Source organism: Homo sapiens, chromosome 17 (assembly GCF_000001405.40).
Source record: "Homo sapiens chromosome 17, GRCh38.p14 Primary Assembly".
Lineage (NCBI taxonomy): Eukaryota > Metazoa > Chordata > Mammalia > Primates > Hominidae > Homo > Homo sapiens.
Genome location: NC_000017.11, coordinates 28,718,508 through 28,727,937, shown reverse-complemented (window position 1 = coordinate 28,727,937; position 9,430 = coordinate 28,718,508). Strand labels below are relative to the sequence as shown.

Genomic DNA, 9,430 nt, shown 5'->3' with positions numbered 1-9,430 from the left:
AGAAAAACTCAGTATTCGGCCAGGCGCGGTGGCTCACGCCTGTAATTCCAGCACTTTGGGGAGGCCGAGGCGGGCGGATCACCTGAGGTCAGGAGTTTGAGACCAACCTGGCCAACATGGTAAAACCTCGTCTCTACTAAAAATACAAAAATTAGTTGGGCACGGTGGCGCGCGCTTGTAATCCCAGCTACTCGGGAGGCTGAGGCAGGAGAATCGCTTGAATCTGGGAGGCGGAGGTTGCAGTGAGCCGAGATCGTGCCATTGCACTCCAGCCTGGGCGATAGAGTGAGCCTCCATCTCAAAAAAAAAAAAAGAAAGAAAGAAAACATCAGTATTCAGGAGGAGGATGGTCACTAGCTGAAGGTTAGCGTCCCTGTATCAGAGTGGGCAAGGGGTGTGAGGAAAGGGGCGTTTTATCTTCTGCCCCTGTCCTGGCTCTCGCAAGGGTATCCAAACCCACCCACGTGGAATGACTGCTGGAAGGGCGCTGGCTCAGGCCGGTGTCGGCCGGCGGACAGAGCAGCTCTGTGAGCCAAGGGGAGGGGCGGGAAAGCCGCTCACCCAGGACACCCGTGTTCTCACCTAGAAACCGACTGGGCTTTGGTTGACTTAAGAGTCCCACAGGGGTTAATGTGTAACCTTGGAGCCATAGGGGAGGAAAACACTCAAACGGCTTGGTCCCTGGGTCCTTGCGCCTCAGGTTTTCTCGGCTTCTTCCTCCCGCCCGCAGCACCTTTCCCCTCCCCCGCTTCTTCCCGCCCCTCCTCTATTACTACCCTCTTCTCCCTCCCCGCTCTCATCTCCGCTTAACTTCCCTCGCTGGCTCTCAGCTGCTCCTCCTTTCGCCCAGAGTTTATACCTAAACTCTCCCCGAAAGCAGCTGCCTCGCTCGGAGGCGGGAGGGGGAGCCCGCGCCACAGTGAGGGCAGGCTGACACCTAGTGGCTAGGAGCCGCAACTGCTGCAAGCTACCGGCTTGGAGAGCGCGGGTCACTCCAGCTGTCCCGGCAAATCGGAGGTCTTGCTTGCCCAGCCTCCGGGGAGCCGGGCCGAGGGCCGGGACTGTCTGAGGGAGGACTGTGACAGCCGCCCGGCCCCAGGAGTTTAAGAGCCGGCGGGAAGAGGTGGCGATGGGTTACTCAGCAGTTCCCAAGTGCCCACCTCGCGGGCGCGGGAGGGACAGGTAAACACGGGACTCCGGCCAGAAGACTGCGAGTGGTGCGGTAGGGGCACTGGGTCTGCACGGAGACCACTGTCGGACGCGGGGCTCCGGAGCCCACCCCAGGACCAGGACTTAGGGGGCGTGGGCGTGTCGGGTCCCGTCCAGCTCTGCGCAGAAAGTAGAGGGCGGAGAGAGCTCTCGCGGTACCCGCCCAGGGCGGGGTAGCCGGTGGCCCGGGGAAAAGTGGGGACGCGGGTTAATGAGGCCAGGCGAGCGAGGGCAGCGGGGACTCCGTCGGCAGTCGGGAGGCGCCAGCGAGGGGTGTCTCGGCGACGACGCCCCCAGCACAGCTCCTAGTTACCCGAAGTCCGCGGGAGCCGGCCGGTGGCCGAGAGGCCACGGGGACACCCGGCTCGCGCGGCAGCAGCGCCTGAGGGGCGGGGGCAGGCGGACGGGGCGGGGGCAGGCGGGCGGGGCGGGGGCGCGGGCGGCTGGGGGCGGGGGCAGAGGCCTCGCAGGGAGGGCGAGGAGGAGCCAAGGGGCCTAGAGGGCTTCGCCAACTGTGTGGGGCTGGCGGCCGGCGGGAGAGGCGGCCGGCCTGGACTGGCCCGAGAGGGATCCCGGTTCCCAGAACAGACCTAGGAGGCGGCCTCGAGGGCGGACGGCAGGGAGGGCCAGCATGCCCCGACTGCTGCACCCCGCCCTGCCGCTGCTCCTGGGCGCCACGCTGACCTTCCGGGCGCTCCGGCGCGCGCTCTGTCGCCTGCCCCTACCCGTGCACGTGCGCGCCGACCCCCTGCGCACCTGGCGCTGGCACAACCTGCTCGTCTCCTTCGCTCACTCCATTGTGTCGGGGATCTGGGCACTGCTGTGGTGAGTGAGCGACTGTGGAAATGAGGTGGCCAGGGGATCCTGAGCGGGGAGCCGGGGCCGGCTCTTGTGTTACTACCCCCATCGCTCACTGGCGGGCTGAGGCCACGCAGTCTCACCTGATCCCGTTTGGTATCCTATCCAACCAAAAGCCGCAGTGGCCCCAGGGGAGGGGGATCGCCCCTGGGAAACTGGAGGCTCTTGGGTTTTGCCCAGCCACTCTTAGCTTCCCAGTCAGCCACTAGCGCGAGCCCAGGATCCCCCGGGGCTGCGAAGGGTAACCGAGAAGTTGATGGTCCTTGAGGGTGCCGAAATGCAGAGCCTCCTCTTCCCTCCTTTCCAGTGTATGGCAGACTCCTGACATGTTAGTGGAGATTGAGACGGCGTGGTCACTTTCTGGCTATTTGCTCGTTTGCTTCTCTGCGGGTAGGTCTTGCCCAGGAAGCGGGAGGCAAATTGGGGACAGGGAGAAGGAAGCTGCTTGTTCAGTTCATGATCTCTTGCCCCATCCCTCCACTAGGGTATTTCATCCACGATACGGTGGACATCGTGGCTAGCGGACAGACGCGAGCCTCTTGGGAATACCTTGTCCATCACGTCATGGTAAGAGAGAAGCAGACTATGTGGTATAGGCCTGGTGTCAGTAATCTAGTCTCAGCTCCGTCTTTCTGAATCTGGGAGAAGGCCGTGTTTTCTTACCACCCACCCCCGACCTGTGTGCTACTTCTTATGCTAGGATGCTGGAGGTTGGCAGTCTGTACTTGTTCACTGAGGCCAGCAACCCATGGTTTCACTGCCTCTTTAGACTGAACATCACCCACAGCCAGCTGTGAGCAGCAATCAAAATCTAGTAATGTTGAACTAACAAAACAAAGCATCTTACCCACTATAAACTATTATTCCAGGGGGAAATTTGGGATTTTCCAGCCCTCAATCTGATAGCCACACCCCCCAAACTTCCAGGAAAGCGTCTGCATCTGGGTTCCCTAACTCCTATTCTTTCTTCCCTCTAGGCCATGGGTGCCTTCTTCTCCGGCATCTTTTGGAGCAGCTTTGTCGGTGGGGGTGTCTTAACACTACTGGTGGAAGTCAGCAACATCTTCCTCACCATTCGCATGATGATGAAAATCAGTAATGCCCAGGATCATCTCCTCTACCGGGTTAACAAGTATGTGAACCTGGTCATGTACTTTCTCTTCCGCCTGGCCCCTCAGGCCTACCTCACCCATTTCTTCTTGCGTTATGTGAACCAGAGGACCCTGGGCACCTTCCTGCTGGGTATCCTGCTCATGCTGGACGTGATGATCATAATCTACTTTTCCCGCCTCCTCCGCTCTGACTTCTGCCCTGAGCATGTCCCCAAGAAGCAACACAAAGACAAGTTCTTGACTGAGTGAGGGGCACAGAGCCTGGGACAACAAAAACGGACAAGGCCAGAAACAGCTTCATATGGACACTGGGACTTAGCCCCAAGCCTGGGTGTCCTCTGAGGCCAGCCTCTCCACCTTCTGAGCCTGCGCCCACACTATTGAAAACACTAATGAAAGTACTCCTCTGAAGTCCTTGTCCTTTATTGGGCAAGGGGTGAGGGAAGCAGACAGACCGGTTGGACATAGTAGATGGGTGTGTGAGGACAAAATGCTACCAGAGAGCCAGCCAATCCACACTCCCCTGAAATGGATGCTAACACCCTTCAAACCCTGGGCATTGGTTTCATACACAGCCTCTTCCAGGGATAAAAGGGGTTCTTGTACAGCTTGTTACTCAACCATGGAGGCAAGTTCTGAGTTCTGGTTTTCCTAGGACACTAACTCTAGTCACAAAGATCTCTGGAATGATCATACATGGTGGAGTGGCAGGGTGAGGTATTTCAAAAGGATAAGTAGAACAGGAGTCTTGCCCAAGCCCTGTCATGTCAGTGTGTGTGTGTGGCCTCCCAGCCCAACCAGAAATTGACAGACAGGCATGTATATGGTGAAAAGATATATATATATATATATTCAGAATTAGGCAGCTGGACTCAGTTTAGATGATCCCAATCTGAAAAACAAAAGGGAGCCTCGTTACTGGAGTTGAAATATGAAGATTAAGCTGGAATGTTATTTTTAGAAAGCAAAATGAGGAATGTGAGGATAAGGTTTGTCAAGGATAGGGGTGCAGTCAGTTAATTATGACTAATCAGCAAAGATCAGGCTTTGGTCGCTAACATATGCATCATTTGCACCCAAGGGGTGAGCATTAAGGGGTTTGTAGGAAGGAAACTTACTTTGTTGGCAACATCCAAAGCATCGTAATCAGGAGCCAGTCGAACATATGCCTTCTTCTCTCCATCAGGCCTAGGGTAGAGAAGGAAGCCTTAGTCCCTGCCACCCTCACTGCCCCCACACCCTCCCCCTTCCTCCTCCAGTCCTCCGGCACTTCAGTGGTTCCTTTGTTCATGTCATTCTTTTCCAATAATGATTTTTCCATCATTAGCCCAGAGGACACCATGAAGCCACAAAGCCAATTCTCTTATGGGAAACACCACAGGCCACATTAAGACTTAAACCAAGGTAATCTGCCACGTGTCGCACTCTAGTTGCCTTTCCCAATAGAAGTAGGGACCCAGAAAATGAGGACCAACCCCCAATCAAGTCCTAGAAAGCCTCAGGTCCACACAAAGGTCTGTAACTAAAGCAGCCTGTAATTCCTGCCTCAAGGCTCACACACACTGCTAAACCTACACCAAGTTTAAGTCAAGGAACCTTTTTCCCCTGCTGAAAGGTCCAGGGGATTTTTTTTTTTTTTTTTTTTAAAAAGGGCCTTGCTTGGTTGCTCAGGCTGGAGTACAATGGGGCAATCATGGGTGATTCCTGGCCTCAAGAGATCCTCCTGCATAGCTCGGACTACACGTGTAGTCCTGCATTACCAGGACTACCTAAACATCAAAAAGCTTCATGGAATGCAGGTTTTTTTGGCTCCAGACTGCTGGTCCAGCCTGCTCCCCATCCCTTGAGGCCCAACTCACCGAATCAGGGTGTTGACCTTGGCCACATCAATGTCATACAGCTTCTTCACAGCCTGTTTAATCTGGTGCTTGTTGGCTTTAACATCCACAATGAACACAAGTGTGTTGTTGTCTTCTATCTTCTTCATGGCAGACTCAGTGGTCAGCGGAAACTTGATGATAGCATAGTGGTCAAGCCTGGGAGAGGCAAAATGGGGTCACCTGGCCTGGGCCCATTCTTTTGGAGCCCAGAGCCAGGAGAGCCTAGGTGCATCAGACAACGAGGTACCAATCACTTTGTTCAGACTTTGGTCGCTTTACAGTGTCATCATCTGCACCCTGAAATCTAAGGGCCTGAAGCCCCAATCCCAGGGGCAGAACGTTGTGCATTTTCTTTCTCTTGAAGGGCTCTTACAACCTCAAGTGATTAAAGAATCATCTCTGGGCCAGGTGTGCTGGCTCATGGCTGTATTCCCAGCACTTTGGGAGGCTGAGGCAGGCTGATCACGAGGTCAAGAGATCGTGACCATCCTGGCCAACATGGTGAAACTCCCTCTCAACTAAAAATACAAAAATTAGCTGGTCATGGTGGTGCACGCCTGTAGTCCGAGCTACTCAAGAGGCTGAGGCAGGAGAATCGGGCCAGGGGCAAATTCCTTTTTTTTTTTTTTTTTTGAGACAGAGTCTCGCTTCGCCCAGGCTGGAGTGCAGTGACAGGATCTCGGCTCGCTGCAAGCTCCGCCTCCTGGGTTCACACCATTCTCCTGCTTCAGCCTGGGACTCAGTAGTGGGACTAGCGGCGCCTGCCACCACGCCCGGCTAATTTTTTTTGTATTTTTAGTAGAGACGGGGTTTCACCGTGTTAGCCACGATGGTCTCAATCTCCTGACCTCGTGATCCGCCCGCCTCAGCCTCCCAAAGTGCTGGGATTACAGGCTCGAGCCACCGCGCCCGGCCAGCCACGAGCAAATTCTTATGCATAGGTGAGGTTAAGCCACAGCAGTGGCTTAAGCACAACTGTAACACAGCTTTCCCCATTTAAAGTCACACTTGATTCTAGGTCCAGCTTGGTGGCGGGAGGGGCAGGAAGACAGTCTGTGAACTGCTTTCCTATATGAACACAATCCACTTTTTCTGTTAAGAAAGAGTAGAAGCAGCAAAAACCCATTGGTACTAACTACTACCATGGCTCTACTCAAATCTGTGCTCCCTAAAAAGTCAGTTATTACCGATAGCTCAAATACTCAAGTGCCCAACCTTCTGCCCATTCCCCCCCAACTGTTCCTTGAGCAGTATGAAAATTCGGGAAAATGAATGGAAAGAAGCTTCTATACACCGCAGCAGGCCATAACTGCCAAATACAGATAATGGAATCCCCACTATCAATCAAGAATCAATCCACGTTCTCACCCTCAAGGATTGTTCCCGATAGCAGTAGGAGCTATGAGCAAGGAATCTCTGTATTCTACTTTATACTCCCCCCAAAATAAGTTTTCAAACCGTGACCACATGTGAAGCAATAATTAACCTAACAAATTTTGAGAGACTCAGGGTTTTTTTTTTTTTGAGACAGAGTTTCACTCTTATTGCCCAGGCTGGAATGCAATGGTACGATCTCCGCTCACCGCAACCTCCACCTCCCGGGTTCAAGCGATTCTCCTGCCTCAGCCTCCCGCGAGTAGCTGGGATTACAGACATGCGCCACCATGCCCGGCGAATTTTCTATTTTTAATAGACGCGGGGTTTCTCCATGTCACTCAGGCTGGTCTCGAACCCCTGACCTCAAGTGATCCGCCCCCCCTCGGCCTCCCAAAGTGCTGGGATTACAGACGTGAGCCACCGCGCCCGGCCTCTGGGCTGATCCTGCCAGTTTTGTAAATGCAGCAGAAACAATCTCCTCATACTTCCAATTAGAGAAGCACACTGGACACAATTTGCGTTTGAGAAACCATCACGCAGAGTGAGTGAATTTCCAAATTACCAATGGAGAATACCCAAATCTTTTCATGGGTACAGGGGGCAGTACTGACTTGTTTCTCCTGGGAGCGCTCTTCCGAGGATATTTGGGCTGTCTCCGGAGTCGCAGTGTCTTCGGCCGCCGGAAGGTGGGTGACGTGCGGATCTTCTTCTTTTTGTGGCTGTGGACACCTTTCAACACTGCCTTCTTGGCCTTTAAAGCCTTCGCTTTGGCTTCAGCTTTAGGAGGGGCAGGAGCTGGGAGAAAAGGAAAGAAAACGTGGGTGCGGGATTTAGAAATCGGTCACTTCCGGCCCCAAGAACTGCAGTGGGCCACCCTGGCCACAGGTGCATCAGTGGTTCCTTTGAAGACATCACAAGTGTCAGGAGATTAAAACTTTTCCATCATATGCACGATACCAGAGGCGAAAGCGACCAACTCTAAGTAACTCCAGGGATACGACTATGAAACAAAGTAGCACTGAATGAACGCTTGATACTTTCCAGAAAATGTCCTACGAATTTTACACATACCCCATCGCAAAACCACGCTGCGGAGAGAGGGGCGGGTAATGTAGCCCGGTTGAACATGAACCAGAAGGAAAATGGTTAAAGCTGAGGGCACTAATTCCTTACAGGCCCGGGGACATGGAGCTCCAACCAGTGGATGCATGTAGCTTCCCAGAACCGAATGTCTGGCCCTCCCTGGCGGATGATGCCTGCCGCGTTGCCCCCCCCCAACTCCCTCTACCGGAACTCAGCCCACGAGGCTGGGCCCACGCGGCCCACGTATACTGCAGCGTGTCCGAAACGCAGGGAGCAGCCCCGGAGCAGAGCCCTCAGGGCTTAGCCCAGCAGCCGTGTTCCCAATTCGTTCGCTCTGCGGCGCGGCAATCCCCGGTAAACCAGCTGCGGCCCCATCACCAACACACACCTTCCTTCTTCGCTTTCGGCGCCATCTTGTGAAAAGGGTCTCCAATGCTCGTTCCCACGGGCTTATAGCGCCAAAGAGCACTAAAGACTCGCGATGCTTTGTACTTAGAGCTGATTGGGTAATTTGCAGAGCGGCGCCCTCTGGGAACGGTAGTTAGGTTTAATTTCTTTTTCGTGCGTGAACAAACATGCGCCACTCCTCCCCTCAAAGGCACTAAAGCTTCATGGGGGTTGTAGTTTTTTGTTTTTTGTTTTTTGTTTTTTTTTTGAGCGCTCTGTCGCCCAGGCTGGAGTGCAGTGGCGCGATCTCGGCTCACTGTAAGCTCCGCCTCCCGGGTTTACGCCATTCTCCTGCCTCAGCCACCAGAGTAGCTGGGACTACAGGCGCGTGCCACCATGGGGATTGTAGTTTTTTGAAGACACGCGTTTATTTGCTCAGGCCAGCGGACGGCGTAGCCGGCTGGCGCTCGGGTCTGGTCCCGGGAGCTTCCTATCTTGAGCAACTGCCAGTCTCAGGGAAGAGGATTGCCATGCCAGGAGGCAGGAACGCTGCCAAGAGGAAAGAACACATTTGGATTGACTCGGGAGTTAGATACAGCTAAGTTCTAGAGTGCTGGAGCAGGATTTGCTCGGTCGAACTGAGGTCCAGAGAGGAATGTGGTTTATCAATAACACAGTGATTTGGTGGCAGAAAAAAATCAAGTCAGGGCCGGGCGCGGTGACTCACGCCTGTAATCCCAGCACTTTGTGAGGCCGAGGTGGACGAATTGCTTCGAGCCCAGGAGTTCGAGACCACCCTGGGCAACACGGCGAAACCCTGTCTCTACAAAAGAATACAAAAATTAGCCGGGCGTGGTGGTGCGTGCCTGTAGTCCCAGTTCCTTGGGAGGCTGAGGTGGGAGGATCGCTTCAGCCCTGGAGGTCGAGGCTGCAATGAGCCATTCCAGCCTGGGTGGCAGAGTGAGACCCTGTCTCAAAATAAATAAATAAATAAATAAATAAATAATCGAGTCACGAGGGGGAAGTGTCAGAGGAAGTACAAGGCGGCCACACCTGCCCCTCTTTACCTGCGACACTGATACTGTCAAGTTTTACTGCGTTTCCTGATAATGCATTTGAAGTTCTATGAAAATTCCACACATTTCTCCAAGATTCGCTAGTTTTTCCGGTTAGTAACTTCACTCACAATCCCCTGCCCTAAACTAGTCTTCCCTTCCGTGTCCTGGTCATCTTTACATCCTCAAATTCAGCTCCAGACACAGAGAAAGGTTTCTTAACACTCAGGTTCGCTTCTCCTAAGGTGTGTGCCTAACCCATCCCCACTTGATCCTTTCTTCTTCCCTCTCCCTTCATAAAACCAGACATGTCCCCTTTGACGGTGAAATTGATTGTGCACTGCCCCCTCTTCTATCCTGCAGGACTTTGCACAAAGGAGTTGTCCCTGGGGGATAGATTCCAATGGGGCCAGAACAATGAACACCCATACCAGAGGGGAGTCCCCGCCTCCCAGAGCGGAGACCACCC

The 9,430-nt window shown here is 54.0% G+C and overlaps 2 protein-coding genes and 4 non-coding genes across 10 annotated transcripts, besides 13 other annotated features; 1 reads left to right on the top strand and 5 right to left on the bottom strand.

Moving 5' to 3' along the window:
- TLCD1 (TLC domain containing 1) lies at positions 1 to 3,590 on the top strand. Of its 5 annotated transcripts, none has more exons than XM_047435299.1 (5): positions 1,006 to 1,182; positions 2,375 to 2,457; positions 2,552 to 2,634; positions 3,045 to 3,199; positions 3,285 to 3,590. In XM_047435299.1, exons 1-5 carry the CDS (start codon positions 1,130 to 1,132, stop codon positions 3,331 to 3,333), a joined length of 423 nt encoding a protein of 140 aa, XP_047291255.1. In that variant the 5' UTR covers positions 1,006 to 1,129; the 3' UTR covers positions 3,334 to 3,590. The 5 variants fall into 5 exon arrangements, with proteins under 5 accessions (XP_006721734.1, XP_047291255.1, NP_001153879.1 ...); XM_011524278.4 differs by lacking the exon at positions 1,006 to 1,182 and adding an exon at positions 1,705 to 2,034; XM_006721671.5 differs by lacking the exon at positions 1,006 to 1,182 and adding an exon at positions 1 to 119 and having other exon boundaries at positions 3,045 to 3,590.
- Positions 722 to 1,445: an enhancer, noted in NCBI's record as "H3K27ac-H3K4me1 hESC enhancer chr17:27053511-27054234 (GRCh37/hg19 assembly coordinates)". NCBI's record gives its function as "activates a minimal SCP1, AML or CMV promoter by ChIP-STARR-seq in naive H9 embryonic stem cells {active_cell/tissue: H9 hESC(naive)}" and the evidence as "EXISTENCE:reporter gene assay evidence [ECO:0000049][PMID:30033119]".
- Positions 1,397 to 1,926: a silencer, noted in NCBI's record as "silent region_8351". NCBI's record gives its function as "represses an Ori minimal core promoter by ATAC-STARR-seq in GM12878 lymphoblastoid cells {active_cell/tissue: GM12878}" and the evidence as "EXISTENCE:reporter gene assay evidence [ECO:0000049][PMID:35858748]".
- Positions 1,397 to 2,169: a biological region, named in NCBI's record as "H3K27ac hESC enhancer GRCh37_chr17:27052787-27053510".
- Positions 1,446 to 2,169: an enhancer, noted in NCBI's record as "H3K27ac hESC enhancer chr17:27052787-27053510 (GRCh37/hg19 assembly coordinates)". NCBI's record gives its function as "activates a minimal SCP1, AML or CMV promoter by ChIP-STARR-seq in primed H9 embryonic stem cells {active_cell/tissue: H9 hESC(primed)}" and the evidence as "EXISTENCE:reporter gene assay evidence [ECO:0000049][PMID:30033119]".
- Positions 2,170 to 2,893: an enhancer, noted in NCBI's record as "H3K27ac hESC enhancer chr17:27052063-27052786 (GRCh37/hg19 assembly coordinates)". NCBI's record gives its function as "activates a minimal SCP1, AML or CMV promoter by ChIP-STARR-seq in primed H9 embryonic stem cells {active_cell/tissue: H9 hESC(primed)}" and the evidence as "EXISTENCE:reporter gene assay evidence [ECO:0000049][PMID:30033119]".
- Positions 2,337 to 2,386: an enhancer, noted in NCBI's record as "active region_11941". NCBI's record gives its function as "activates an Ori minimal core promoter by ATAC-STARR-seq in GM12878 lymphoblastoid cells {active_cell/tissue: GM12878}" and the evidence as "EXISTENCE:reporter gene assay evidence [ECO:0000049][PMID:35858748]".
- Positions 2,507 to 2,806: an enhancer, noted in NCBI's record as "active region_11940". NCBI's record gives its function as "activates an Ori minimal core promoter by ATAC-STARR-seq in GM12878 lymphoblastoid cells {active_cell/tissue: GM12878}" and the evidence as "EXISTENCE:reporter gene assay evidence [ECO:0000049][PMID:35858748]".
- Positions 3,567 to 3,666: a silencer, noted in NCBI's record as "silent region_8350". NCBI's record gives its function as "represses an Ori minimal core promoter by ATAC-STARR-seq in GM12878 lymphoblastoid cells {active_cell/tissue: GM12878}" and the evidence as "EXISTENCE:reporter gene assay evidence [ECO:0000049][PMID:35858748]".
- Positions 3,579 to 7,953, bottom strand: RPL23A (ribosomal protein L23a). The gene is made up of 5 exons (NM_000984.6): positions 7,908 to 7,953; positions 7,048 to 7,231; positions 5,039 to 5,215; positions 4,298 to 4,367; positions 3,579 to 4,071 (listed from the first exon to the last, which is right to left on the bottom strand). Exons 1-5 carry the CDS (start codon positions 7,930 to 7,932, stop codon positions 4,057 to 4,059), a joined length of 471 nt encoding a protein of 156 aa, NP_000975.2. The 5' UTR covers positions 7,933 to 7,953; the 3' UTR covers positions 3,579 to 4,056.
- Positions 4,184 to 4,257, bottom strand: SNORD4B (small nucleolar RNA, C/D box 4B). The gene has a single exon (NR_000009.1). It is a non-coding gene; the product is annotated as a small nucleolar RNA, C/D box 4B (small nucleolar RNA).
- On the bottom strand, positions 4,447 to 4,507 carry SNORD42A (small nucleolar RNA, C/D box 42A). Its single transcript, NR_000014.2, has one exon. It is a non-coding gene; the product is annotated as a small nucleolar RNA, C/D box 42A (small nucleolar RNA).
- SNORD4A (small nucleolar RNA, C/D box 4A) lies at positions 5,285 to 5,356 on the bottom strand. Its single transcript, NR_000010.1, has one exon. It is a non-coding gene; the product is annotated as a small nucleolar RNA, C/D box 4A (small nucleolar RNA).
- Positions 7,239 to 7,398: an enhancer, noted in NCBI's record as "active region_11939". NCBI's record gives its function as "activates an Ori minimal core promoter by ATAC-STARR-seq in GM12878 lymphoblastoid cells {active_cell/tissue: GM12878}" and the evidence as "EXISTENCE:reporter gene assay evidence [ECO:0000049][PMID:35858748]".
- Positions 7,322 to 7,388, bottom strand: SNORD42B (small nucleolar RNA, C/D box 42B). Its single transcript, NR_000013.1, has one exon. It is a non-coding gene; the product is annotated as a small nucleolar RNA, C/D box 42B (small nucleolar RNA).
- Positions 7,739 to 7,958: an enhancer, noted in NCBI's record as "active region_11938". NCBI's record gives its function as "activates an Ori minimal core promoter by ATAC-STARR-seq in GM12878 lymphoblastoid cells {active_cell/tissue: GM12878}" and the evidence as "EXISTENCE:reporter gene assay evidence [ECO:0000049][PMID:35858748]".
- Positions 8,095 to 8,696: an enhancer, noted in NCBI's record as "NANOG-H3K27ac-H3K4me1 hESC enhancer chr17:27046260-27046861 (GRCh37/hg19 assembly coordinates)". NCBI's record gives its function as "activates a minimal SCP1, AML or CMV promoter by ChIP-STARR-seq in primed H9 embryonic stem cells {active_cell/tissue: H9 hESC(primed)}" and the evidence as "EXISTENCE:reporter gene assay evidence [ECO:0000049][PMID:30033119]".
- Positions 8,389 to 8,438: an enhancer, noted in NCBI's record as "active region_11937". NCBI's record gives its function as "activates an Ori minimal core promoter by ATAC-STARR-seq in GM12878 lymphoblastoid cells {active_cell/tissue: GM12878}" and the evidence as "EXISTENCE:reporter gene assay evidence [ECO:0000049][PMID:35858748]".
- Positions 8,697 to 9,297: an enhancer, noted in NCBI's record as "H3K27ac-H3K4me1 hESC enhancer chr17:27045659-27046259 (GRCh37/hg19 assembly coordinates)". NCBI's record gives its function as "activates a minimal SCP1, AML or CMV promoter by ChIP-STARR-seq in primed H9 embryonic stem cells {active_cell/tissue: H9 hESC(primed)}" and the evidence as "EXISTENCE:reporter gene assay evidence [ECO:0000049][PMID:30033119]".